Source organism: Homo sapiens, chromosome 1 (genome assembly GCF_000001405.40).
Source record: "Homo sapiens chromosome 1, GRCh38.p14 Primary Assembly".
Taxonomy (NCBI): domain Eukaryota; kingdom Metazoa; phylum Chordata; class Mammalia; order Primates; family Hominidae; genus Homo; species Homo sapiens.
In genome coordinates, this window is record NC_000001.11 from 1,132,849 (window position 1) to 1,159,220 (window position 26,372).

Here is a 26,372-nt window from a genome sequence, read left to right on the forward strand (position 1 = left end):
GACACCAGTGGGACCCGGCCAGGGCTCATCCTCACGGCTGCTTCCCACATACTCACCTGTCTCGTAGCCCCTTCTCCACACACGCTCGCGTTGTTGGTACTGAGAGTTTGGATTCTAACCATGAACTCTGGGGGCACAACCTGCCAGAGGGGTCACTGTGTAGCCCGGGGGACCTTGCAATGTCTCATCCTTAAAACCCCAGGAAGAGCAGAGCTCTGCTGCGTGTGCTCGCGGGTTCCGCCTGAGAGCAGGGTGGTTCCGGGCTGTGTGTTCCGCCTGAAAGCTGAGTTTTAGGAGCAAGCAGGAAACACAGAGGAGAAGGACCAGGAACCCTGGGGAGCCCGGGGGAGCTACAGGTGGAGAAAACTGCCCTGAGAGTGGTGGGGAGGGCAGGTCACACCCACCCCAGGGAAGGTCGCTTGGGTTTACGTGGAGACGTTGTTTTGGGGTGGCGGGGCCTGGGTGTCCAGCATCCCTGGTACATCCCTCCTGGTGGGGTCCTGCCAAGGATGACGCTCCGGCTGGGTGGGCACTGCAGTCTCAATGCTCGGGGTCCGGTGTGGGGGGCTCCCGGTGGCTGCACCCCTCGCCCTGCGCCCTGCCCGCCGCCTGCCTGCCCGGCCTCCTCAGCAGATGCTGGGCTCTGACCCCAGCGTCAGGCAGAGGCTGGGCCGGCGGCCAGGACGACTCCGCCTGGGGTTTAATGTTCCACTTCCTCCCCGCTGACTGACCCTACGCAGGCACTGGCCCTACTCTGAGGCCTCCCAGCCTCCCTTCCACAGGTCTGGCTGGGGAGGTGGTTGACGTGGGGAGGGAAAGCTTCCCAGGACGTAGATTTTGTTTTCTTTTCCTGGAAAAGGGCGGCTGCTCATGCTTCCTTGCTGAGGTCCCCTCCTGTGTCCAAGAAAACTTAGTGGTTTTCTCTCTCTCCTAAGAAATACAGGCCTCAGGTAAGGCCGGGCACAGCGGCTCACGCCTGTTATCCCAGCACTTTGGGAGGCCGAGGCGGGCAGATCACGAGGTCAGGAGATCGAGACCATCCTGGCTAACACGGTGAAACCCCGTCTCTACTAAAAATACAAAACATTAGCTGGGCGTGGTGGCGGGCGCCTGTAGTCCCAGCTACTCGGGAGGCTGAGGCAGGAGAATGGCGTGAACTCGGGAGGCGGAGCTTGCAGTGAGCCGAGATGGGGCCACTGCACTCCAGCCTGGGCGACAGAGCGAGACTCCGTCTCAAAAAAAAAAAAAAAAAAGAAAGAAATACAGGCCTCAGGTAACCAGTGCTGTCAAAACATCCCCGCATGGCGAAATCCCTCACGCCCCCCTCCCCACATGCCCGCGTCTGCTTTCTGCCCTGTCCCAAACCATTCACCTCCTCACCCCGCCACCCCAACTCCACTGTCAAACCGTTCACCCCCTCACCTCGCCACCCCGACTCCACTCTCAAAAACCAGAACAGGTCACCAGTGCTTCCCTCCCTAAACAGTTCTGTGCTGTCCTGGGAGCACCAGTAACATCCAGTTCCCCGAGGGACCAGGGGGCTGCCTCAGGGGGGAGGGGTCTCCTGCAGGCCTGGCATAGTGTGGCTGTCCCTACACCCAGACCCTGCACACGGCCCCGCGACACGGGGAGGCTGAGGCCTCGCAGGGCCCTGGGTGTCTCCACCAGCTCCTCGGGGTCCGCTGTCCTGCTGAGGTGCCCGCAGGACCCTCAGTGGGATGGGCACCAGCCCTTTTCAGCGTTCCGCCGAACAGGGGCCCAGAGTGCCTGAGAGGCGCCTGTGTTTGCACATTTGGAGGCCGGTGGGGGTCCGTGCAGGCGCAGAGCCCCACAGTAGCAGGTGGCCCCGTGGGGAGGCTCCCCGATGGGTACATCCCGCAGCAGCATCTGACATCTGAGTCTGCAGCCCCTCTCAGGAGGGGGCACCGTGAGGGGTGTGGCTTCCTCGCCATCTGAGGCTGCAGCCCCTCTCAGGAGGGGGACACCGTGAGGGGGTGGCTTACTCGCCAGGCTCCCTGGGGGCTGGGCAGCGATGGCTGGCTTCCCAGGGGCCTTCCTGAGTCACGGACCCATGGGGTCCTGGCTGACTTTGCCTGCGGCGTCAAAGGGCTTGAATCTCCGTGTAGCCACCGAGGCCTCCACTCCTGGAGACCCCACCCGTGATCCCACCTCCCCCAGGCAGATATCTTGGCTGCAGCCATTGTCCATCCCCCGGGGTCACCGTCCCCTCCCCGCCCCGATGCTCTGACCACCCGGGGGCTCCTCCCGTATCCTTTGGGCCTTCGGGAGACCCCACTCCACCACGGGGGCCTGGATACAGGGTCTTGCCACCTCCCTCCCCAGGGAGGGGCCTGGGAGAGTCTGGAATGGGATGGTCGCAGGCAGTGGGGGCCCTCAGGGTAGGGGCCTGATCTGTGCATTTGGGCACAAATTCCCTGGGCGTAAATGTCACCGGAAAGGGATCCCAAAGAGGGCTCTTGGACCTCGAGCAAGAAACAGTTTGGGGGAGTCCACTGATAAACTGAAAGCAAGTTTAATAGGAAAGTAAAGGAATAAGAGAAGGGCTGCCCCATAGGCTGAGCAGCGGCCTGGGCTACTCCACTGAGAATACTTATTGTTGTTTCTTGATATGTACTAAACATGGTGTGGATTATTCCGGACTTTTCTGGGAAAGGGGCAGGCAATTCCCAGAAGTGAGGGTTCCTCCCTCTTTTAGACCATCTAGGGTAACGTCCTGGCGTTGCCGTGGCAACTAAACTGTCCTGGTGCTGGTGGGCGTGTCTCTCATGCTAATGTATTATAATCAGCGCATAATGAGCAGTGAGGACTGGCTGTCTTGGTTTTGGTGATTTGGGGCCGGCTTCTTCACAGCATCTTGTTTTATCAGCGGGGTCTTTGTGACCAGTCTTGTGCCAACCTCCTATCTCATCCTGTAACTAAGGATGCCTGACCTCATGGGAACGTGGCCCAGCCGGGCTCAGCCTCATTTTACCCAGGCCCTGTGCAAGATGGAGTTGCTCTGGTTCAAAGGTCTCTGACATAAAGACCTCAACCAGGCTGGTCTCACGCTGCCAGGACAGCTGGTGAGTGCAGGTGGGCAGGGGCCACTGCCCCAGCTCCCGTGGGCAAGGCTGAGGGTGAGGGGTTCCGGAGCGTTCCACATTCTCCTTGCAATGCTGGAAGCACGGGTGTCTCCCATCCCGACACGCCTCATTCTGTCTGCAGCTCACAGGGCCCGGCTTCTGCAGCTCACAGGGTCCGGCTTCTGGAAATTCTGCTTTTGCATTTTGTACTCTGTCCAGGGGCCAAAACCCAGGTCTGGAATTGGTGTGGTCCCTGGTGGCACAAACCAGTCCTGGCTAAGAGGCCGGCCCCTCTCACTCCACTGAAGAGACAGGGGGCTGCATGCTGAGAGGGCCAAGGCCAAAAGGAGCCTGCTGCTGTTCACAGCCCCCTGTGTGCCTGGGGCCCACTGTTCACAGCCCTCTGGGTGCCTGGGGGCTGGGCTGGGGGCTACTGCAACCCTTGGCCTATGGTGTGGTCGAGGGAAGGGGAAGGGACAGGGCTTTGAGAAACACGGTGATGGGGGTGAGGGTGGGGACTGGGGACGGTGGGCGTGGAGGTGGAGGCCCTGTGGGTGCTGGGCAGGGCAGAGGAGCTAGGCCAGATGCTGTGTTTGTGTGGGGTGCTGAGTGGCCAGCCTAAAACCTTCTGAGAAAGTAGGATCCAGCACAGGGAGCTTCAGCTTCTCTGATGGGAGGCAGGAGGGGGTCAGGTGGGAGCTGCAGGGCGTGTCGAGCCGGCCCTGCCCTGGGTCCCTGCGGGCCGCCTGGCACACAGGAGGGCGGTTCCTTTCCTGTTGGACCCGGTCTCACTTCATTTGCCCACGTTAATTGGGGCGCAGGTGCAGCTCTCGGGCAAACAAAGGTGCGGTCGCCAGGTGGACTTAACCCTTTCCCTGGCACTGGCGGGGCCTGGGGGGAGGCAGCAGGAGGGGCGGCCGGGTGGTCAGTTTGAGGACCTGGCCCCACGTGCCTTTGTGGGATGGTGGGGACCCCACACCCCCGCTGGCTGGGCTGGGATGGTCGGGCCCTGGGCGGGGCAGGGGCTGCACCTGGGCCTCTGGGCCACCTGCCTGGCTCGGTCGCGCCCCTTCTTTGGTTTCCAGCTAACGACGCGGCGCCCACCGAGAGCTGGGGGAGCCCAGGGCGGGGAGGGCGCGGCCGGAGCGAGCGCCGCCCGGGAAACCCGAGCCCCGCCAGGTGCGCGGGGACAAAGGCGGTGCCGGGAGGGCGGGTCCTGGGGGTCCCCCTGCCCCCTCTGCGGTGCGTTGGGAGCTCCCGTCCTCCTGCGCACACTCAGGGAAAGACCGGAGGAACCGTGGCGGGGGTCGAGGCCGGCGTGGGGTGGGGGCGCCAGGGGGGCGGGCGGGGCCCAGAGCCCGGGACACGCGACGAGGGGCCGGACCCCGAGGATGCGAGGATGCGGGGACCCTGCCCCCGCTGGGCCGGGTTTTGGGGGCCCGGGACACTCAGCCCCGCCCCCCGCAGGCTCTCTGTGGCCCTGGGGTGGGAGGGCTGCGGTCGAGAACCCCCCACGCGGCCCCTCCCCGGAACCCGCAGGCTGTGCACCCTCTGGACTGAAGTCACCCGTCAGTCCCGGCTGGGGGTTTCCGGGAACAGGGCAGGTGCTTTAAAGCAGGGGTGGCCGATCTTTTGGCTTCCCTGGGCCACATTGGAAGAATTGTCTTGGGCCACACATAAAATACACTAACGATAGCTGATGAGCGAAAAAAAAATTGCCAAAAAAATCCCATTATGTTTTATGTTTTAAGAAGGTTTACAAATTTGTGTCGGACCCCATTCACAGCAGCCTGCTGCCATTGGACAGCTTTAAAGCCTGGAGGGCTTGCGACTGGGCGTGTACCCTCCCCGCCTCCCTCCCCCTCTCCCTCCCAGCCCAGCCCTTGGCTGGGTCCTGGGGCGGGGCCCGGGGTCCTCTGTCCAGGAGGTCTGGTTCCCCCAGCAGTGAGTGGGGTGGGCCCTGCAGGGGGTCTTGGCCATTGCAGTGGGGACCCCTGAGCCTGCCAGCAGGAGTGAGGACTCTCAGAGGAAGGGGTTCCCTAAGGGATTCGCACCCCTCCTCTCCCACCAGGCACATGCTCAGGTGTGGCCCAGCCTCTGGGTTCAGGCTCACGTCCTGTGTGGCCTGGAGGGAGTTCACGCCTCAGGGGTGTCTTCCCATCCCAGGAGCCCATGGAGGCCTTCAGGACAGGGCTGTGCGAGAGGAGGTCGTGCCCACGAGTTCCTGCCCGGTGGGAATGAGCAGGGGGCGGGCGGGGGGTCTCAGGGCGAGATCTCCGCTCACCGCAACCTCCGCCTCCCAGGTTCAAGCCACTGTGCCCGGCCTGGGGATTCATTTTAGAAAAGACAAAATGCTGGCTGGGTGCGGTGGCTCACGTCTGTCATCCCAGCACTTTGGGAGGCCGAGGCAGGTGGATCACCTGAGGTCAGGAGTTCAAAACCAGCCTGGCCAACATGGTGAAACCCCATCTCTACTAAAAATACAAAAATTAGCCGGGTGTGGTGGCACATGCCTGTAATCCCAGCTACTCGGGAGGCTGAGGCAGGAGAATTGCTTGAATCTGGGAGGCAGAGGTTGCAGTGAGCTGAGATCACACCACTGCACTCCAGCCTGGGCGACAGAGTGAGACTTCATCTCAAAAAAAAAAAAAAAAAAAAGTGACAAAAGGCCAAGGAAAGGAGAAGGGGCAGGAACATCCTCTGGGCGGTGGGATGGCCACAGTTGGTCCCACCTGGCAGCGAAGGTGGCTGGAGTGACCCATAGGGCCTGGCCCACTCAGACACAACTGTCGGTGCCTCAGGCAATGGTCACCACAGCAGAGGGCTGGGGCACCACACGCTGTGCTTGGGGGAGGTCTGGGGGGATTCTGCGGTGTGAGAACTTAGGGAGAAGCTCTCTGAAGACGGACCTGCCCGTCTGGGGACAGGTTGGGGGGCCTGGGGCTTGCAGTGTTGCAGGTGAACTCTAGGGCCCTATCTCTGCAATGGGACGGCCTCCAGGTCATGGGAGGGCCCAGCCTGCGGGTTCTGGACCCCAGGGGCCACACTGGGCGGGACCCCGTTCACAAGGCGGGAAGGAATCCTGCCCCAGGACCACCCACAGAGGCATCCTGAGCTGCATCCGGGGGAAGCAGGACTCCGAACCGGGGGACCTGGGTCCTGGGGAGCTTCCTGGGGTCAGAAGGTGGGGGTGTCAACGTCGAACCGGGGGACCTGGGTCCTGGGGAGTTTCCTGGGGTCAGAAGGTAGGGGTGTCAATGTCGAACCGGGGGACCTGGGTCCTGGGGAGCTTCCTGGGGTCAGAAGGTGGGGGTGTCAACGTCGAACCGGGGGACCTGGGTCCTGGGGAGCTTCCTGGGTTCAGAAGGTGGGGGTGTCAGCATCGAACCGGGGGACCTGGGTCCTGGGGAGCTTCCTGAGGTCAGAAGGTGGGGGTGTCAGCATCGAACCGGGGGACCTGGGTCCTGGGGAGCTTCCTGGGGTCAGAAGGTGGGGGTGTCAGCATCGAACCGGGGGACCTGGGTCCTGGGGAGCTTCCTGGGGTCAGAAGGTGGGGGTGTCAGCATCGAACCGGGGGACCTGGGTCCTGGGGAGCTTCCTGGGGTCAGAAGGTGGGGGTGTCAGCATCGAACCGGGGGACCTGGGTCCTGGGGAGCTTCCTGGGGTCAGAAGGTGGGGGTGTCAGCATCGAACCGGGGGACCTGGGTCCTGGGGAGCTTCCTGGGGTCAGAAGGTGGGGGTGTCAGCATCGAACCGGGGGACCTGGGTCATGGGGAGCTTCCTGGGGTCAGAAGGTGGGGGTGTCAACGTCGAACCGGGGGGCCTGGGTCCTGGGGAGCTTCCTGGGGTCAGAAGGTAGGGGTGTCAACGTCGAACCGGGGGACCTGGGTCCTGGGGAGCTTCCTGGGTTCAGAAGGTGGGGGTGTCAGCATCGAACCGGGGGACCTGGGTCCTGGGGAGCTTCCTGAGGTCAGAAGGTGGGGGTGTCAGCATCGAACCGGGGGACCTGGGTCCTGGGGAGCTTCCTGGGGTCAGAAGGTGGGGGTGTCAGCATCGAACCGGGGGACCTGGGTCCTGGGGAGCTTCCTGGGTTCAGAAGGTGGGGGTGTCAGCATCGAACCGGGGGACCTGGGTCCTGGGGAGCTTCCTGGGGTCAGAAGGTGGGGGTGTCAGCATCGAACCGGGGGACCTGGGTCCTGGGGAGCTTCCTGGGGTCAGAAGGTGGGGGTGTCAGCATCGAACCGGGGGACCTGGGTCATGGGGAGCTTCCTGGGGTCAGAAGGTGGGGGTGTCAACGTCGAACCGGGGGGCCTGGGTCCTGGGGAGCTTCCTGGGGTCAGAAGGTAGGGGTGTCAACGTCGAACCGGGGGACCTGGGTCCTGGGGAGCTTCCTGGGGTCAGAAGGTGGGGGTGTCAACGTCGAACCGGGGGACCTGGGTCCTGGGGAGCTTCCTGGGGTCAGAAGGTGGGGGTGTCAACGTCGAACCGGGGGACCTGGGTCCTGGGGAGCTTCCTGGGTTCAGAAGGTGGGGGTGTCAGCATCGAACCGGGGGACCTGGGTCCTGGGGAGCTTCCTGGGTTCAGAAGGTGGGGGTGTCAGCATCGAACCGGGGAACCTGGGTCCTGGGGAGCTTCCTGGGGTCAGAAGGTGGGGGTGTCAACGTCGAACCGGGGGACCTGGGTCCTGGGGAGCTTCCTGGGGTCAGAAGGTGGGGGTGTCAACGTCGAACCGGGGGACCTGGGTCCTGGGGAGCTTCCTGGGGTCAGAAGGTGGGGGTTTCAATGTGTAAAGCAGTGAAATGGGTCCCAGAGAGTCCACAGGTGGAGAACGGCCTTCACCAGGCAGCCAGGGAACGGTGTGGGGTGCTCACCAACACCCCGTCACTGCTCCAGAACCCCTGGCAGCCACAGAGCTCAGGCTTCAACGCTGGCCCGACACCAGGGCCAGGCCAGAAATCAGCCTGGGAGAAGCTGGGTCCGGCTCCGAGGCTGGTGGGCACGGCCCCACCCGGCTTTGTTCTTCGCGGCGCTGAGGCGGTTAGTTTAGCCTCCCACCCACCAGACAAAGGTGCGGGAAATGGGACCGGTTTGACTTGTTCAGGTGGGCACTCGGGGGTCCCGGCAAACCGTCTCCTCAAAAGCCCCCCGTGCACTAGCACGCCTCCCCAAATCCCGTCCCCAACCCCATCCCCACCCCCATCCCCACCCCCGTCCCCGCCCCCAGCCCCATCCCTGCCCCCATCCCCAACGCCTTCCTCACACCATCCCCCGATCCCCATCCCTGTCCCCACCCCCGCCCCACCCCCATTCCCCCATCCCCACCCCCGTCCCCATCCCATCCCTGTCCCCATCCCCTACCCCTTCTTCACCCCATCCCCCCGCCCTCACCCCCACCCCATCCCCACCCCCATATCCACCCCCGTCCCTGCCCCCATCCTTACCCCCATCCCCGCCCCGTCCACAACCCCATCCTTACCTCTATCCCCACCCACATCCTTACCCCCATCCCCGCCCCGTCCACAACCCCATCCTTCCCCCGCCTCCACCCCCCGCCCCCACCACATCCCCACCCCTGTCCCCACCCCTGTCCCCACCCTCATCCCCACCCCTGTCCCCCCCATCCCTGCTTCCCCAACTGCATCCACCTGACTCCCTCCTGTCCCCACCAACCCGGCCAAGCGTCCTCCCTCTCAGAGGCTCTCGCTTGCCCCCCACAGTGCCCCTCCAACCCCCAGCCTCAATGAACGTCCCCCGGCCTGGCCTCCTGCACCCAGAGAGTGGCCTTCGGAGGCCGCAGCCGTCTCGCCCACGGTCCCCGGTCCATGCTGCTCCCTCCTCTCAGCTCCCCTCAGCCCGAGCCCCAGGAGACAGGCACCTGGGCCCGTGGGCCGACCGGGGGAGACCCTGCATGGTTGTGGATCCCTGGGGGCAGCTTCACGCTGGGCTTTGGTCCCCAGGGCCCAAGACCACTCCCCTACCCTCGGCTCCACAGCTGACCTGGCTACAGGAAACACCGGCCCCTCTTTGGCTTCTGAAGACCCCACAGGCTCTTGCCACCCCCGCCTGCCTCCTCCTCACGTCAACCCGTCAGTCCTCGGCGTGGACGCTGTCCTCAGGAGAGGGGAGCCCCCAGGCCTGGACCCCTCTGTGCTCGGGAGAGGGGAGCCCCCAGGCCTGGACCCCTCTGTGCTCGGGAGAGGGGAGCCCCCAGGCCTGGACCCCTCGGCTGGGGCCCTGCGCTCCCACTGAGCCGTGTCTGCCCTCAGTCCCCAGCACACCATCCCCGTCTCTCTTTTTTTTTATTTTTTCGAGATGAAGTCTTGCTCTGTCACCCAGGCTAGAGTGCAGTGGCACGATCTCGGCTCACTGCAACCTCCACCTCCCGGGTTCAAGGGATTCTCCTGCCTCAGCCCCTGAGTAGTTGGGATTACAGGTGCCCAGCATCACACCCGGCTAATTTTTGTATTTTTAGTAGAGATGGGGCTTCACCATGTTGGCCAGGCTGGTCTCAAACTCCTGACCTCAAATGATCCGCCCACCTCGGCCTCCCACAGTGCTGGGATTACAGGCGTGAGTCACTGTGCCCGACCCCGTCCCCGTCTTTCAGTCAAGACCGTCCTCCCCACAGCACCCCTGCACTGCCGCCCTCTCAGCCTCCCGTTTAGCAAAACGGTTCCCCCACTGCCTCCTGCCACGACCCCAGCCTCCCCTCGGCCTCTGAAGGCAGCCGGGACCCCTGCTGTCCTCCCACCTCCCCACCTGCACGCTCTGCTCCTCCTACCTTCTAAAAGGATCTTCCTTCTCCAGGCACATGGTCACCCTGCACGTCAGGGGCCGGCTCACCCCTGATATTAGCAACCCCAAGCGTCTTGGCGCAGGGAGGGATCCCCGTCAGCCAGGTCCCCACGCAGCTCCAGGCAGCGCCAGCGTCCACCAGGGAGCAGGGGCAGCAGAGCCCTTCTCCCCAGACACCCTTGTGTCTTCGGAAAATGCCAGGTCCCCCCCCAGCTGCTGTTCTCGTCTTTGGAGGACCCGGCTTTACTGGTGCCACATGCCTGCTGCGGGCTGTGCCATGGAGGGCGGCACCTGCCTCTTCTCACGTGGCAGCTCTGGCACCGGGAACTTCAGAGACCCCAGCTGGGCTGAGCCACCCCGGGCTGAGGCCTTGTGGGTCGCCTCAAATTCAAGCCTCATGGGCCCGGCCTCCCGCCCTAACGGTCGCTGAAGTGTCCTGCTCTCATACGAACTTGTGTCTAAAACTGTGGTCTTTGCTTTTCTCCCAAACCCGCCTCCCCGCGCTGCCTACCTCAGGCCTGGGGGCTCCCCCGACTTGTTCTCTATTCCCCCAGCCCCTCACTGCCTGGGGGCTCCCCCGACTCACTCTCTAGGCCCCCAGCCCCACACTGCCTGGGGGCTCCCCCGACCCTCTCTCTATTCTCCCAGCCCCGCACTGCCTGGGGGCTCCCCCGACCCTCTCTCTATTCTCCCAGCCCTGCACTGCCTGGGGACTCGCCTGACTCGCTCTCTATTCCCCCAGCCCCACACTGCATCTCGGGAGCAGTTCCAGGCCGACCTCTGCTCTCCACGGCCGGGAGGTGTCCAGGTGTGGACAGAGCCCCGGCTCTCCATCAGGGCACCCAGCCGCCCCACGCTCAGCCCTGCGTGGCTTCTCCCGTCCTTCCTGGGCATCCCCTGAGGGTGTGGCCCTGTTGCTGGGCCCCCTCCTGCCCCCTTGCCCTGCCAGTTCCTAGAGCCTAGGCTGAGGGCAGGGCCATTGCTGTGAACAAACTGGACAGGCTCCGCGGGAGCTCAGAGCTGCCCCGTGTCTGAGGGCGCGGCTGTGTGGAGTGGGGTCCCCTCGGCCAGGCGGGAAAGGCCCTGGATCGTGTGTGTGACCCTGGTACTGGGCAACCCCTGGGACAGGCAAGTCCGTGGAGACAGAACGGGGCGGTGGCTGCAGCCTGGGAGCTCGGCCTCCCTCGGGGTGACGGAATGTTCTGGACCTTGATATAGGTGGTGGATACTCAGCCCTGTGAGTGCAATAAATGCCACCAAATTCTCACTTCAAAATTATTTTATGCTATGTGAATTCTGCTCCAATTAAAACACAAACTCTCTTGCAAAATGCACCTTGTCTCCGCCCCTTCTCCCATCACACGCAGCCCCTTGAGAACAGCCAGCACCTGCCTCCCAGGTCCGGGCAAGCAGCCTCCCCTCTCGACGGCCCCGGGCAGCCCCATCACCCTCGGCGGCTGCCCAGGCCCAGGCCTGTTTCCGGCCCTCCTCTGAGCACCTGGAGAGGAGGAAGTGCGTCTTCTCTCCGGTGCCTCTGAGAGACAAGCCTACTCCCCCCGGGCTGGGTGGCCCAGGGCACAGTTAGACCCGGGAGTGGAAAAGGCGGTGGCGGTTTTCTTGCTGTTGTCCCGGCAGCGTCTTTGGTGACACTTTCCCGCCTTTGGAGACCAATTACCCGGCAGAGGCCCAGTGGCCTCATTAACTCTGCTGCGGCGTCGAGAAAGGGGGAAGGAGCCAGCCCACGGGCAGGGCAGGGCGGCTGCAGACTCTCCCGCAGCTCAGGGGCCTGGAGAAACCTGGCCACACCTGGCCCAGCTGGGTCAGGCCTCTGCCAACAGGAGCCCAGGGCCCCAGCGCTCCCCTCCCTGCCAGGGAAACAGCCCATAACGACAGCCTTTCCTGGAGCCTGGGTTGCATCAGCCGAGCCGCCAGCCACAGGGCCCCAGCAACGGCACCTGGGCCCGGGGCCTGGCCTGCCGGGGACACTCGGCTGTGCGCACCTCGAGGGGCTCTACAGCCTGTGGGGCCGCGCCTGCCTCTCGGGGCTTCCGGGCGATTCCTCCTTCTCCTCCGTGGTGTGTGCTGTGCAGACGGGGACCGGGCCAGGCCAGACGCCGGATCCAGAGCAGCTTCCCAGACAGGCCACCCACCCCTCCGAGGCCTCCCTCAGTCCCCTGGCGGGAGTCCCCGGCCTTCCGGGCCTCTCTCCCCTCCCTTCCCACCCCCAGGAGGGGAGAGGACTGAGGCCTGGGGTCACTGCCGCACCTGCGCTCTGAGACCTGCACTCGCCCAGGCCGGAGTCCCCACGAGGCAGGAACCCTGGCATGCGGCCGGCAGTGCCCACAGCACCCAGTCAGCCGGGAGGGGTCTCACCCCACAGCCCCCCGCTCCTCCCCTCCACACCCAACCACAGTCCCTCCTGGCTGACACCGTGGCCCCTCCTGGCCTGTGCTCCCCGGGAACCTCAGTCAGTGTCACTTGAACTCCAGCACCGGACCTGGCCCCGTCCATCCAGCCTCTGCCCCGAGAGCCCCGCCCGTATCTCCAGAGGACACGCCCTGCCAGGGGACAGGCGGGAGCAGCTGAGGGCCGCCCGGGGAAGGAAGGCAAGGAGGGCATGTAATCGCCTGACCACATGGCCGACCCCCTTGTGACCTCATGACCCCCACCACCTTCATGGCCGACCCCACCTGACCTCATGGCCGACCTGACCTGACCGCACGGCTGACCCAACCCCATCTCATGACTGACCCCACCTGACTTTATGGCTCACCCCAGTGACCCCATGGCCAACCCCACCTGACCTCATGGCCGACCCGATCTGACCTCATGGCTGATCCTCATGACCTCACTGACCCCCCTGACCTCATGGCTGACCCCCCAGGAGGGCTCCCAGAAGGCCGAGGGCTGGGGGCAGGGGCAGAGCCCAGGTGAGTCCAGGAGGCCGGAGGGGCTGCAGGTCCGGCAGAGCCAGGGGGAGCGGCCTTTGACGTTGGCAGAGGTGGTGCCAGGGTGGGGCCTGCCAGGGCGTCTGAGGCTCAGGGGCAGACCTTCTCCACTGGCTGACCCAGGAGGGTCAGGGGTCAGAGGCCACAAAGCAGCATGGAGAGGCCGGGAGTGCAGGGGCTGGGAGGGCCAGGAGGCCACAGGGGATCCCGCAGAGCCCTCTCGGCCCCATCCTGGTGGGAGAGGAGCCTGTCCACTGCCTTCCTGGCACCCTCTGGGGTCTGGGGGCCGGTGGGCAGCCCTGGGAGGGCCCATTCTCAGTACTGCCTGGCACTGCGTGGGGTTCCAGAGCCCCCCCTGCCCCGAATCTGAGAATTCTCACTCAAATTAGATGCTGATGCTGCCACCACTGCTGCTTTGGGAAGCAAATCTGTCACCTGTGCAAACGTGGCTGTGTCCGAGTCAGGTCTGGGGGAGCCCTGGGCCCGGCCGGTGCCAGGGCAGGGTCCGCACCAAGTCGAGGCCTCCAGGGAGCAAAGCTGCCCCCCAGCCTGGGAGTGCCATGGGTCTGTGGGTTCCAGCAGGGGACAGTGTCCAGCCCCTCCAAGGGTGCACAGAGACGCCTTCCTGTGGCCACCTCTGGCCGGAATTTCCCACGGGGGTCCCGGCCGTGGCCTCAGAAAGGGGCTCAGCTCCTCCTCCTGCTGGGGCAGCCCTGTGCCTTGAGGGAGGAGAGTAGTCAGCGGTGGCGGGAGGCCACTGTTAGCTAGAAGCAGAGCCGGTTAGAAGTTGACCTTGAATGGGTTTTTTGGGGATTTTGGGGTTTTTTTAACTGTCGTTTCACCTCCGCTTGGGGAAACATCCAGGTGGCTTTGCTGGATCTGCTGGGCCGGCCAGGAGAGGCATGAAGGCTGGTGCTTGGGCCCAACCCAGAAATGCACAGACACTGGGGGCTGCTCTGGAGGGGCTCTGCCTGGGCAGAGGGCGGGAAGCGGGTGCAGGGAGTGGGGACTGGGCAATAAGGACTCTTAGGGACTTGGGCCTGCTCTGAGTGCAGGGCTGGCCCAACTCACGCATCCTTACTGGCTGCACTGGTGCAGGGTGGCCACGGGGCCAGTGGGCGTCGTGGCACCAGCCAGGCTGCGGGCATCGGCCGTCGGGGGCAGTGCCTTTAGCTGCGAGGACCCAGGGTTCTGGGCGCACTTTGGAAGCACAGCCTGCTCTCCCGAGGGCTGGGATGTGGAGGATCCCAAGGTTTGGGAGGCTGGCGGGGGCAGGTCCAGGGAAGCTCGGCATCTGTGCTCAGGTTTACATGGACCTGGGTGGCCCCTGGCCACTTGCACTTGCAGAGGGCGTTAGAGCCTAGGGACCAGGTGACACCAAGGACAGCCCTGGGGCGGTGGGTTCAGAGGTCAGAACAGGAGGGGCCAGAAAAGGAGCCACCAGGGGCAGAGAGGTGGGAAGTGGGACCTCCGGTGCCTGGAACCCAGGTAGGAAGGTGGGGACCCCCGGTGACTGGAACCCAGGTAGGAAGGTGGGGACCCCCGGTGCCTGGAGCCCAGGTAGGAAGGGGGGGACCCCCGGTGCCTGGAGCCCAGGTAGGAAGGTGGGGACCCCCGGTGCCTGGAGCCCAGGTAGGAAGGTGGGGACCCCCGGTGCCTGGAACCCAGGTAGGAAGGTGGGGACCCCCGGTGCCTGGAGCCCAGGTAGGAAGGTGGGGACCCCCGGTGCCTGGAGCCCAGGTAGGAAGGTGGGGACCCCCGGTGCCTGGAGCCCAAGGGGAAAAGTCCTCAAGGCAGAGGTCCCAGCCCGAGGTGCCAGCCCTGCTGAGGGGCCGAGCAATGTGGGGTTGGGGGATTGGAGTCAGTGAGTCTGGACCCATCTTCCAGGCCCTGCAGCGGCCCCAGCCTGCTCCCCACAGGTGGACGACAGGACTCAAGCTGCAGTTTGCAAGGGGTCTGATAAAAAGAGGGAGGGTTGGGGGGCACAAGGGCCCTCCTGCCGGGACTCAGTGTAAGTTGCTGAGGAGAGAGGATGGCGCCCGTCTTGGCTGTTGAGGCTCATATTGTTTGGGGCTCTCCTTAAGAAAAAGCACAGGCCGGGCGCGGTGACTCACACCTGCCATCCCAGCACTTTGGGAGGCCGAGGAGGAAGGATGGCTTGAGCTCAGGAGTTTGAGACCAGCCTGGGCAACACAGAGAGACCCCGTCTCTACAAAAAATGAAACAACTTAGCCACGTGTGGCGGCGCCTGTGGTCCCAGCTACTACCCAGGAGGCTCAGGTAGGAGGATCACTTGAGCCCAGGAGGCTGAGGCTGCAATGAGCCGAGATCATGCCACTGCACCCCAGCCTGGGAGACACAGTAGACCCTGTCTCAAAAAAAAGGGAAGAACAAGAGTTCAGAATAAAGCATGAAAAATTGGAAAGAAGTGAAATATTTATTTACAACCTGAAACAAAATCACAATAAATGGCAAGTTTTGAAAAAAAGCTGATGAATACGCCACAAACGTCACACAATCTAGAAGGCTGGATGGGCCGGAGCCCGTGGATCCCGCCACAGCAGGTGGGGGTGGAGAGCCGAGGTGCCGGTGCGTCCCTGGGTTGCCGCACGTATATCCCTGAGCTCGTCCACCCAGCAACACCCCAGGAGCCGCAAGTTCACCCACACCCAGCCCTTGGCTTCTAAATCCCATTCTCCACCGGGAGGAACCAGGCTGATTCCTGGGCTGTGCAGAAAAGATACAGGAGGAGCCTGGAGCATCTTGCAGTACTGGGAAGCAAGGAAGGACTCAAGGAATGACGGAGAGGACAGGAGCAGAGCTGGACAGCCCGTGACCCGCAGCGGAAGCAGGAGTGCCGGGGTCGCCCTGAGGGCTGTAAAGTAAGTCAGTGGGGAGCAGAGAAGCTTCTCCTCACGGTAGAATGCGGCTGATGGTGTGGAAGGAATGAGGTTCCTGGGAAACCGCCGTGGGTGACTGTCGGGAGCAGGACTCAGCACCACTCTGTGCCTTCCTAGGGCCACGAGGACCTGAGCCCCGCGTGCGACGTCCTGGCCCGGAACCTGCGAGGGCGTCGGGGAATGGCCCAGGCACGTCCCGGGCTGATGGAGATGAAAGAAAATAATGGCTCATCATGTGACCCGGGTCCTGCCTACAAATGGGGACGAGGTGTGGGAAGGTTGCAGCCTGCACTCGGACTGCGGGTGTTTGGGGGTGTGGGAAGGTCTCAGCCTGCACTCGGACTGCGGGTGTTTGGGGGTGTGGGAAGGTCTCAGCCTGCACTCGGACTGCGGGTGTTTGGGGGTGTGGGAAGGTCTCAGCCTGCACTCGGACTGCGGGTGTTTTGGGGTGTGGGAAGGTCTCAGCCTGCACTCGGACTGCGGGTGTTTGGGGGGCCTCTGTTTGCAGCATGGACACCCGAGTTTCAGGATAAGAGCGTCAGGCCCAGAAGAAGCAGCACCTGCAACTCTTCTGCAGAAATTATTTCAGAATGAAAAGAAAGAACTCCCACGAAGGAAAGTCTCTAAAACTAATAAACGAGGAACCGAGGCCCCAGCCAGTCCTCCAGCCCCCGAGGGAAGGAGGAGGGAATGAAGTGGGGTCCGGGATCAGAGGTCAGGGGGGTGCAGTTGCCACGGGGGCACCCTGTGTGGCATGAGCAGCCGAGGGGGACCCAGGGACCTGGTGAGGGTGCGAGAGGGAGGGGCTGGGGCGAGTCACCCCAAACAGGAGGCCTTGCGGAGAGGAATAGACAGGGCCAAACACCCCGGAAATTCAGGCAGGTGGGTGAGGAGGCTGGGACACAAGCTGCGGGGCCTGGAAGCTGAAGGTGGGGACAACTGCAGACCCCTCCCCAGCCCGAGGGGAGGAGGTGGCTGAGTGGCTGGGGTGGGTTTGCTGGAGGGCTGAGGGTCCGCGGGCCCGCCCCGTGGTGGGAAGGGGCAGAGGAGGGCAGGTCCCGTGGTGGGAAGGGGCGTGGTGGGAAGGGGCGCCCCATGGTGGGAAGGGGCGTGGTGGGAAGGGGCAGAGGAGGGCAGGTCCCGTGGGTCGAACGCCAGTGTCCTGGGAGTCTGGGGGTTCCTGCAGGTGACACAGATGTGGGGTTGGGACGTCAGGAGGTTGGTTTTGGGGATGCAGCAGTCGGAGGCTATGAGGATGGGGAGTGTCTGCAGCCCTCCCTTGGAGGAGGGGGAGGCGTGGGGGCTGGTCAGAGACCCCATGGGGGTGCTGAGTGTGGGCTGCAAGGCTGGCAATGGAGGGGGGCTGCCCAAGGCCCCCTTCCAGGTACTCTAGGCCCTGCTGAGCAGTGGAGAAGTTTGCTGTGAGAGCACGGGGCTGCAGGCCAGGTGAGGGGTGGCCAGTGGAGGCCTGAGCTCAGGAAGATCCTCGGCCTCCAAGGCTCCCCAGCCAGGCCGCTCCGGGTCTGGGGCTCCTGGTGCCCTGGAAAGGTGGGAGGTGGTGGCCCAGGGGTGCACAGAGGCCTCCAGGTCCGCCGGCCGGGTAGGGCCGCTTCCCGTCTCCCCAGCGGGTGCATGACCTCAGGCCCAAGCTGCACACCTGTTTGCAGGGCACACACAGACACACAGGCCCACCCAGGTGGGTCCCAGCACCTGCAGGAAGGCCTTGCCTGCCCTGTGTTCCTTCCTGGAGGCTGGTGAGTCATCAGCCGTCCCCACCTAGAAAGCCTCCCAGCAGGGCTGGCCCCACCCGGCGAGGGGCAGGAGGGCTCACCCTGTCGGCTTGGGCCCCCAAAGCAGGCCCCGGTTTCCCCAGCAGAAGACTGGGAGCCCCAGACCCAGAGCTTCTCGGTCTGGCAGGGGGCAGGCCAGGACCATCCGAGGGCTAGGGGGACACATGGGGCTGTCTCGTCCTCCCCAGGGCCCCATTTGGGAGGAGGCCAGACCTAGGGCCTGAACCCTCACAGGGGCTGCAGGGGGATGCAGAGCTGGGGCCCCCTCACTGGCCTCTTCCAGGGCGTCCACCCCAAGGCCTGAGGGGGCCGTCCTGGTAGCTTTCACGGCTGTTCCTCCCAAAGACAAAAAGTGGCCGCCCTGGAACAGCTCTGACCCCGGGTGTCCTGTCACCCACCGGACCTGAGGGCAGCCTCGGACTCCCTGGGGACCCTGGGGCAGCCGCCCTCATCCCTCTCTCAGGCCCCAAGTCCCCAGATTCCCTCTGGGCCTCTAGGAGCCTGGGAGGGGGTGCCGGGGAGCAGAGGTGAGGGGCCGGGAGGGGTCCTGGCGAGCAGCAGGGCTGCGTCTAGGGCCTGCGTGCCCGGTGGGGCTGCTGCCGGGTGATTTGCCTGAGACATTTCCATGGCTGCTTTGGTTCTGCGGGCTGGGATTTCCATGCCTGCTCCCTCCCAGGCGTCGTGAAGCCTGCAGCCCTAGGTTCTGTTTCCGCCAGGTGCCCTCACCTTCTGGGACCCGGCCGAGCCCTGGGAACACTGGCTGGGGAGCAGTTACCCAGGGCCCATGGTGCTGAGGGTCACCGACCGTCCCTTGAGGCTCCCCGAGTTTGGTCCTAAGGGCTTGGTCTGGAGGCATCTCTGGTCCAGAACCTCAGGACTCACGGTGTGTTTAAGAACCAGGTCAGCAGCCCCTGGGGTGGGCCCTGCCCGTCTGTTCCGAGGAGCCACCTGGGGGCCCTTCCTGCGCAGCTCAGGATGTCTGAGAAGCCCGGGGTCCTCACCGCTCAACGGCCTTCTCCGGCACCCAGATCTCGGGCTCCAGGCCCCTTCCGCAGTTCACCTGTCCCGGGCCCCCCACCCAGCAGGAGTGCCGCCTGCCTCCCGCACGGCCGGCCTCCGTGTCCCAGACAGGGTTTGCCTCCAGGGTCCCCTCCCCACAGTCTCTTGGGGCAGGACCCCTGGCGAGTTCCCCGGAGTCGAGGCGGCAACCCCAGCAGACAACACGTGGAGGTGACGGTGGCACTGCCAAGCCCAGGCCAGGCTCTCAAGAATGCTCGGGCCCAGCCAGAGCCTCAGGGTGAGCTCAAGGCACCAAACCCAGAACGGCCCCACCCAGGGGGAGCGTGGAGTGCGAGGAGGGGCAGCCACGGTCCGTTCTGTGGCCTCGGCTCTCCAGGACTCGGAGGCTCCACGCCCCTTCCTGCTCTGCCCAGCCTGGGGCTGCCCCGCTCCCCTCTGCCTCTGTCTCCTGCTGCCCCTGGGGCCTCCGTCTCTGTCTCCTGCTACCCCCGGGGCCTCCGCTCACAGCAGCCACTTCTGCCACCAGCAAGACATCAACAAAGGTCACTGGTGGGACTTTAAATACACATTTAAATAGACTTTTTATTTCTAATAATTTCTGATCAACAGAAAAGTTGCACAGGGGTTTCAAAGATCACAGAGACCTGGCGTCACTGTGAGACCCGCACGTCAGCTGGTCCGTCTGTCGCAGCAGCCAGTGATGACCAGCAGCTAAACCCCACACGCTGGCCAGCCTTTTTCCCTCCTGTCCTTTCCGTCCCAGAACCCCATCCAGGCCCCGTGGCCTCGTCACCTCTCCTTGGTCTGTGACAGCTTCTCAGACTTTCCTTGGTTTAGCAACCTTGACAGTTTTGAGGAGTGCTGCTCAGGTGTTTTGTAGAGAGTCCCTCAGTTTGGGTTTGTCTGATGTTTTTCTCATGATTATACTCTGGGGTTATGGGTTTTGCGAAGAGGAGGATGGAGTCCTAAGTTCCAGAGCCCAGTGTCCCATCACCCCATTGAGTCCGGGTTCCAGGCTCTCCACACAACCCAGCTCTATCATCCCATCGGGGATCCACGCTCTCCACACGACCCAGCTCTATCATCCCATCGGGGATCCAGGCTCTCCACACAACCCAGCTCTATCATCCCATCAGGGATCCACGCTCTCCACACGACCCAGCTCTATCATCCTCTCAGGGACCCAGGCTCTCCACATGACCCAGCTCTATCATCCCATCAGGGATCCAGACTCTCCACATGACCCAGCTCTATCATCCCATCGGGGATCCAGGCTTTCCACACGACCCAGCTCTATCATCCTCTCAGGGACCCAGGCTCTCCATACGACCCAGCTCTATCATCCCATTGGGGATCCATGCTCTCCACATGACCCGGCTCTATCATCCCATCGGGGACCCAGGCTCTCCACACGACCCAGTTCTATCATCCCGTCAGGGATCCAGGCTCTCCACACGACCCAGTTCTATCATCCTCTCAGGGACCCAGGCTCTCCACATGACCCAGCTCTATCATCCCATCGGGGATCCAGGCTCTCCATACGACCCAGCTCTATCATCCTCTCAGGGACCCAGGCTCTCCACATGACCCAGCTCTATCATCCTCTCAGGGACTCAGGCTCTCCACATGACCCAGCTCTATCATCCCATTGGGGATCCAGGCTCTCCACACGACCCAGCTCTATCATCCCATTGGGGATCCACGCTCTCCACATGACCTGGCTCTATTATCCTCTCAGGGACCCAGGCTCTCCACACGACCCAGTTCTATCATCCCATCAGGGATCCACGCTCTCCACACGACCCAGCTCTATCATCCTCTCAGGGACCCAGGCTCTCCACACGACCCAGCTCTATCATCCCATCGGGGATCCAGGCTCTCCACACGACCCAGCTCTATCATCCCACCGGGGACCCAGGCTCTCCATACGACCCAGTTCTATCATCCCGTCAGGGATCCAGGCTCTCCACACGACCCAGCTCTATCATCCCATCGGGGACCCAGGCTCTCCATATGACCCAGCTCTATCATCCCATCAGGGTTCCGCGTTCTCCACACGACCCAGCTCTATCATCCCATTGGGGATCCAGGCTCTCCACATGACCCAGCTCTATCATCCCATCAGGGATCCACGCTCTCCACATGACCCGGCTCTATCATCCTCTCAGGGACCCAGGCTCTCCACACGACCCAGCTCTGTCAACACTCCCCTCCATCACCCAGCTGAGGCTGTGCCCATCAGGTTTCTCCACTAGTGGGACTGTAAACAATTGCATTTTATTTTTTTATTTTTGAGACAGGGTCTCACTCTGTCACCCTCCTGGGCTCAGGGGATCCTCCCGCCTCATCCTCCCAAGTGCTGGGACTCCATTGCGCACTCCCATGCCCAGCTAATTTTTTGTATTTTTTGTAGACACAGGGTTTCACCATGTTGCCCAGGCAGGTTTCCAACTCATCCCCCAGTCTTGGCCTCCCAGTGCTGGGGTTACAGATGTGAACCATGGCACCCAGCAAACAATTGCATTTTAATTCCAGATATTGAAAAATGCCGCAATTCATTGTTAGTATTATTGCTGTGCAAAGCCAAAATCAACTGGGATTTCATCACTTTTCACACAGCAGACCTTCTGCCTGGAACCGTCCCGTGGCTGTGTGTGCTTTGCACATTCTCTTAGCAAACGTTTACTGGTGGCAAATGTTCTCAGCTCTCTTCTGGTTGTTGTTTGTTTTGCTTTCTGGCCAGTGCATATTGTAAAGCAGCTGTTCCACTGTCTTCTGTCTCCATCATGCTGTGGGCATGTCTGCCACCAGTCCCACCACTGGTCTTTGGAAGTGAACCTGTCTCACTCTTCCCTGGCTGTTTTCAACTCTTCATTGTTGGCTTTCAGGATGGCTCACGTGGGCGGCAAGCTGGGGATTTCTGTGTATTTATCCGGCTTAAGATTCATGGGGCTTCTTGAATCTGTGTTTGGATGTCTTTTAACAGTTCTGGAAAATTCTCAGATAGTATCTCTTCAAATATTAATTTCTCCCATTCTCTCTTCTTCCAAGTCTCTATATTTTATATATGTATTTCACCCTCCCACCCTTATCCATATTGTCTTTTAAAAATATCTCTAGCCAGCCAGGCATGGTGGCTCAGGCCTATAATCCCAGCACTTTGGGAGCATGAGGTGCATGGATCACCTGAGGTTGGGAGTTTGAGACCAGCCTGATCAACATGGAGGAACCCCGTCTCTACTAAACATACAAAATTAGCCAGGCGTGGTGGCGCATGCCTGTAATCCCAGCTACTTGGGAGGCTGAGGCAGGAGAATTGCTTGAACCCCGGAGGCAGAGGTTGCAGTGAGCCAAGATTGTGCCATTGCACTCCAGCCTGGGCAACAAGAGTGAAACTCCATCTCGAAAAAAAAAAAAAAATCTCTAGCCTTCATTCTGGATAATTTACACTTACCTGTCTTCCAGTTCCCCAATTTTCTTTTGCTTCCTTCCTACCTTCTTTTTCTTTTTTTTTGACAGAGTCTGGCTCTGTCACCCAGGTTGGAGTGCAGCGGTGCAATCTCGGCTCACTGCAACCTCCGCCTCCTGGGTCCAAGTGATTCTTCTGCCTCAGCCTCCTGAGAAGCTGGGATTACAGGTGCCTGCCACCACACCTGGCTAATTTTTGCATTTTTAGTAGAGACAAGGTTTCACCATGTTGGCCAGGATGGTCTCAAACTCCTGACCTCAGGTGATTCTCCCGCCTCGGCCTCCCAAAGTGCTGGGATTACAGGCATGAGCCAACGCGTCCAGACCCCAGTTTTCTTTTCAGCAATTTTAAATCTTCTGTTAAGCCTATCCATTGAGTTTTAAATTGTGGTTATATTTTCATTTCTAAAAGCTCATTGTCTTTTTAAATCTACTACATAATTTTTATAAGCTAAAGTTCTCTGCAAATATAAAACGTCTTTTTTTGTTTTCAACACACTGATTTTAGTGTTTTTTGGTCTGTGTCTGATAATCCAATATCTCAGGCCCCTGTGGGGCTTGCTGGTGTCTGATTCCATCCGTTCTTGCTTATATCATATCTTTGCGAGACTGGTTATCTTCGACGGCGTGCTGGTCATTGTACTTGAACAAGTATCTGTAGGACGATTTGATGCCTCGAGCAAAGGCACTGCCCCATTCGGCTTTCCTCTGCCAGACACCTGGGACAATACTGCCTGGGCCTGAGTGGCCTTTGGAAGACCACTGTGGAAGTGACTTGAACTGGGGCTGCGAGGATGGAGTCACTTCACTTCGTCCTCACTTTGGGAGTGGAGCCCTTTGGGACTCCCAGGTTTTGTGGGGAGGGTCTCCTGGTGGATGATTTCCACATTGGAACAAAAGTTCACATCTGCTGACCCCCGAGGAACGTGGCAGAGTGCTCTAGGCAATATTTTATCCATGGCTTTGGCTTAGTGAGTTCTTACCAGCTCCTTGGCTCTTCGAAGCTTTAATCGGATGGTTGAACATTTCAGTACTTTTCAGCCAGCAGGTGGATCTGAGAACCTCCGCCAGCACGCCTGCAAACAGGCCACCCCTGTGGGCACTGGCCATGTCTCCTGCCTGGGGCACTCTCTCCCTTTGGCCTTCAGGACCCCACACTCTTCCCATCCAGGAGTCCTGGGATTCCTCAGGGCACCGCCAACCTGACCACAGCCTCCGTTCCCTCGTCATCAGGCGAAGCCAGTGCACTTCCACCCAGGCTCTGCCGGGCGCCGTAACCAGCATGGAGTCCCCACTCGGGAAACTCCCACTCAAACTACACCTGCTCAGCTGGAATCTGCAGGAAATCTGTGCCGACGACACCAGGGAAGAGTGTGCACATTCTTCCCAGCCTCCAGACGCCTTGTCCCCATCTCCATCCACCCCCTCCATTTCCCCGGCACCAGCACCCCAGCCCGCTGGTTCCCAGGAATGCCTGTGCTCCGGTGGCTGAGTGGGCTGAGCCTCAGAGGCACGTGGTGACCGGCTGCCCACAGGCTGGGCTGGGAGGCCATAGGGTCACCTCTGGATTTGAGCCTCAGAGGCACGTGGTGACCGGCTGCCCACAGGCTGGGCTGGGAGGCCGTAGGGTCACCCCTGGATTTGGCGCCCTAGAGGCCTCTGGGGACGAGGGTGGCTGTGGAGGACTGGGGCAGATCTCAATGAATAACTGAGAAGAAAACAAAGGGACAGGCTGCAGATCAGGCTCCCGGGAGAGGGCTGTGTCTCAGACCACGGGCAAAGCTTCCAGACTTTTGGTTAACGCCTTTCTGAGAATTCAGTAGAGGCCGTGGCTAAGCCTCACAGCTATCAGGGATACAGCCCTGGGGGAGGACATGGGAGCTTCAGGGCCTCAGGTGGAGGTGGGTCCGGTCAGGGTGAGCCAGGCTGAGGAGGCTGTGCTGACCCACAGGCCCCAGCTGGACACGGGCAGGTCCCAGAGCTTGGTTCAGGGCAAGAAGGTGGGGGGAAGGTGGGCCAGCACTTGCTTAGGGGGGCGGGGGGAGGTCCCGGGCACTGGGCTGGTCCGCCCTGTGGCAACCCTCTGTGGGCAGACCCAAGGTCGCACAGCAGGACCAGGACCCAGGACCTCGGGCTGGGGACAGAGTGACCTTCTGGCTTGAACCGTGGTGCCCTGAGCTTGCAGTGGCCAACAGGTGCCTGGGGTCTTGGGTCAGGTGGGAGGAGCCGGGACAAAGTGGGAGAAAAGGTAGCTAGCTGGAAGAGGGTGCAGGAGGCCCCCCGCTCTGTGCAGCATTAAATCATGGTGGGGTCACCTGCCTTGTCTGGCAGCATGGTAGAAGGGCATGGCCTGGGCGGGGAGCACTGGGCCCTGGAATCAAGGTCCAGAGGCAAAGGCAGCAGGTGGATCCAGCGAGCCCTAGGGACTGCAGCCCCGCCCCCAGCCCACCCATCCCGCCCCCAGCCCACCCATCCCATCCCCGCCCACCCATCCCATCCCCGCCATCCCCGCCATCCCCGCCATCCCCGCCATCCCCGCCATCCCCGCCATCCCCGCCATCCCCGCCATCCCCGCCCCCAGCTCCGCCCCAGCCCAGCCCCTCCATCCCCGCCCCGCCCGCAGCCCCGCCCCAGCCCTGCCTCCCATCGGCCTGGAGGCTCCCTGGCCTTCCTGCCGGGGTGGAAACGGGTGTCTGCTACCGGGGTTCGTGTGGAGCAGGAAGGGGGAAGGCGACGAGGTGGAAAAGACCGCTGGGCGCCCCGAGGAGGCGGAGCTGCTGGGAGGGGCCTCCCTCCGCCCGATCCTGTTTAATCTCAAACTCTAGGCCCTGGGGACGCGCCACCCTTCCCGCCGAGGAGACTGGGTTTTCCTCCCAGGGTTCTCCAAGCAAAGCCTGTCTGTGTTCCAGGCTGGTGCTGACTAGAGGAGGCAAAGCCAAAATTAGCCCCAGGCCCTCCCTCAAGTAGTGAAGGGGCCACCGGGCCTCCCCTCAACCCGTAGGGGGTCACGGGCCCCGCCCCGCTCCCGGTCAAGACCCTGACATTGCGGAGGGTCAGGAGGGGGGAGCGAGGATCCGGGGCCTGGCACCCTGGGTGGGGCACCGTCCCCAGGGAGGGTTGGGCAGGCGCCCCCAGCCTCCAGCCATCCCGCCCGCTGTGGGCGCCCCGGTGGCCGAGGAGCCAGGAGCGGCTCCCGGGGCTGTGCGCGGAGAACCCGGAAGAAGCGGAGGAGCCCCGGGCGGCGCTGAGCTGTGTCCCTGCCTGAGGGGGGCCCCAGCCCTGAGCCCGCAGCTCCAGAGGCTCCTGGGCCCTCCCCTTCTTCCCAGCACCGTCCCAGGGGGAAGGTAGCCCCCGGCGCAGGCGGGACCCTCGGCAGTCTGGCCCAAGAAACGGGGACCCTGTGGCTTCCTGTGTCTGGTGCCATCAGGAAGTAGCCCCGAGCCAGAGCACAAAGGGCCTTTGTCCTGCCTGCCCCGCCCAGCGAGACCTCGGGCCCAGCCAGGGCTGGGGGCTGGGGGCTGGGTACCCTCTGGCCGGCTCTGCCACCAGCCGCCAGCCTGGTCCCCGGAGAGCCACACCCCCTCCCCTCCACGGTCCCCACCCGGCTGCCATGACAATGTCCTACCCAGCAGGAGGACCAGGCCGGAACCTTTGGCAGCCACCAGTTCCTGGAGATTCCGACACCAAGTGCAGCCACTGTGCGGGGCCGGGTGTGGAGTGGCCCCACACCGACCAGCTCACGCCAGCTGGCAGAGCCACTGGGCCCCCTCCGTGGAGGAGGAGAGAGGCCTCGGGCGCCACGCGCTGTGCCCCAGGGCCACTCACTTCCTTGGTAGGTGGGGGATGCCGGCCTGGGCCTCCCGAGACTTGAGCCCTGCCCCTGCCCTTGCCCCCAGAGAGACCTGTGCCAGCGAGCGTCCCAGGCCTCCCCTCCCTGAGCCTTGCACCCGGGCGGTGCGGGGGCCCTGCTGCACCCCAGAGCGGGCATCAGCCCTCAGCCACTCCGTTAGCAATCCTCCCCCCAGCTCAGGGCCTCAGAACTGGCCATCCACGGAGCTCAGAGGCACCCGAGGGCCCTGGGGCCTGGGTAGGGACTGGCCAGCTCGGGGTCCTCCAGCAGCCATACCCAGGTTCATCCAGGATGAAAGCAGGGCAGTGGGAACCACGTGATTGGTTTAAAAGCAGGTGAGGGGCCGGGCATGGTGGCTCATGCCTGTAATCCTGGCACTTTTGGAGGCCAAGGCAGGCGGATCACCCGAGGTCAGGAGTTTGAGACTAGCCTGGCCAACACGGCAAAACCCCTGTCTCTACTAAAAATACAAAAATTAGCTGGGCATGGTAGTGCACACCTGTAGTCCCAGCTACTCT

At 62.6% G+C, this 26,372-nt stretch overlaps 2 long non-coding RNA genes across 3 annotated transcripts in view, besides 13 other annotated features; both read left to right on the top strand.

The window, feature by feature from the left end:
- The window catches only part of LOC124903820 (uncharacterized), a 33,257-nt gene that overhangs the window by 4,165 nt on the left and 2,720 nt on the right, over window positions 1-26,372 (top strand). The window contains exon 2 of one of the 2 annotated variants that reach the window (XR_007065351.1): window positions 25,634-25,836. This is a non-coding gene — a long non-coding RNA (uncharacterized LOC124903820). Of the gene's footprint in view, window positions 1-24,840; window positions 25,837-26,372 lie in introns of those variants that run through there. The other variant, XR_007065350.1, reaches the window with a different exon arrangement.
- Window positions 2,002-3,086: a transcriptional cis regulatory region, noted in NCBI's record as "candidate enhancer chr1.97 targeted for multiplex CRISPR interference". NCBI's record gives its function as "positively regulates NADK gene expression in K562 cells {active_cell/tissue: K562}" and the evidence as "EXISTENCE:mutant phenotype evidence [ECO:0000015][PMID:30612741]".
- Window positions 4,038-4,097: a silencer, noted in NCBI's record as "silent region_36". NCBI's record gives its function as "represses an Ori minimal core promoter by ATAC-STARR-seq in GM12878 lymphoblastoid cells {active_cell/tissue: GM12878}" and the evidence as "EXISTENCE:reporter gene assay evidence [ECO:0000049][PMID:35858748]".
- Window positions 4,118-4,367: a silencer, noted in NCBI's record as "silent region_37". NCBI's record gives its function as "represses an Ori minimal core promoter by ATAC-STARR-seq in GM12878 lymphoblastoid cells {active_cell/tissue: GM12878}" and the evidence as "EXISTENCE:reporter gene assay evidence [ECO:0000049][PMID:35858748]".
- Window positions 4,169-11,208, top strand: LINC01342 (long intergenic non-protein coding RNA 1342). Its single transcript, NR_038869.1, has 3 exons — window positions 4,169-4,262; window positions 7,977-8,184; window positions 9,891-11,208. It is a non-coding gene; the product is annotated as a long intergenic non-protein coding RNA 1342 (long non-coding RNA).
- Window positions 4,468-4,657: a silencer, noted in NCBI's record as "silent region_38". NCBI's record gives its function as "represses an Ori minimal core promoter by ATAC-STARR-seq in GM12878 lymphoblastoid cells {active_cell/tissue: GM12878}" and the evidence as "EXISTENCE:reporter gene assay evidence [ECO:0000049][PMID:35858748]".
- Window positions 4,718-4,797: a silencer, noted in NCBI's record as "silent region_39". NCBI's record gives its function as "represses an Ori minimal core promoter by ATAC-STARR-seq in GM12878 lymphoblastoid cells {active_cell/tissue: GM12878}" and the evidence as "EXISTENCE:reporter gene assay evidence [ECO:0000049][PMID:35858748]".
- Window positions 4,868-4,967: a silencer, noted in NCBI's record as "silent region_40". NCBI's record gives its function as "represses an Ori minimal core promoter by ATAC-STARR-seq in GM12878 lymphoblastoid cells {active_cell/tissue: GM12878}" and the evidence as "EXISTENCE:reporter gene assay evidence [ECO:0000049][PMID:35858748]".
- Window positions 5,499-6,000: an enhancer, noted in NCBI's record as "H3K4me1 hESC enhancer chr1:1073727-1074228 (GRCh37/hg19 assembly coordinates)". NCBI's record gives its function as "activates a minimal SCP1, AML or CMV promoter by ChIP-STARR-seq in naive H9 embryonic stem cells {active_cell/tissue: H9 hESC(naive)}" and the evidence as "EXISTENCE:reporter gene assay evidence [ECO:0000049][PMID:30033119]".
- Window positions 6,001-6,500: an enhancer, noted in NCBI's record as "H3K4me1 hESC enhancer chr1:1074229-1074728 (GRCh37/hg19 assembly coordinates)". NCBI's record gives its function as "activates a minimal SCP1, AML or CMV promoter by ChIP-STARR-seq in primed H9 embryonic stem cells {active_cell/tissue: H9 hESC(primed)}" and the evidence as "EXISTENCE:reporter gene assay evidence [ECO:0000049][PMID:30033119]".
- Window positions 8,423-8,944: an enhancer, noted in NCBI's record as "H3K4me1 hESC enhancer chr1:1076651-1077172 (GRCh37/hg19 assembly coordinates)". NCBI's record gives its function as "activates a minimal SCP1, AML or CMV promoter by ChIP-STARR-seq in naive H9 embryonic stem cells {active_cell/tissue: H9 hESC(naive)}" and the evidence as "EXISTENCE:reporter gene assay evidence [ECO:0000049][PMID:30033119]".
- Window positions 12,069-12,588: an enhancer, noted in NCBI's record as "H3K27ac-H3K4me1 hESC enhancer chr1:1080297-1080816 (GRCh37/hg19 assembly coordinates)". NCBI's record gives its function as "activates a minimal SCP1, AML or CMV promoter by ChIP-STARR-seq in naive H9 embryonic stem cells {active_cell/tissue: H9 hESC(naive)}" and the evidence as "EXISTENCE:reporter gene assay evidence [ECO:0000049][PMID:30033119]".
- Window positions 24,985-25,224: a silencer, noted in NCBI's record as "silent region_41". NCBI's record gives its function as "represses an Ori minimal core promoter by ATAC-STARR-seq in GM12878 lymphoblastoid cells {active_cell/tissue: GM12878}" and the evidence as "EXISTENCE:reporter gene assay evidence [ECO:0000049][PMID:35858748]".
- Window positions 25,295-25,474: a silencer, noted in NCBI's record as "silent region_42". NCBI's record gives its function as "represses an Ori minimal core promoter by ATAC-STARR-seq in GM12878 lymphoblastoid cells {active_cell/tissue: GM12878}" and the evidence as "EXISTENCE:reporter gene assay evidence [ECO:0000049][PMID:35858748]".
- Window positions 25,825-25,894: an enhancer, noted in NCBI's record as "active region_13". NCBI's record gives its function as "activates an Ori minimal core promoter by ATAC-STARR-seq in GM12878 lymphoblastoid cells {active_cell/tissue: GM12878}" and the evidence as "EXISTENCE:reporter gene assay evidence [ECO:0000049][PMID:35858748]".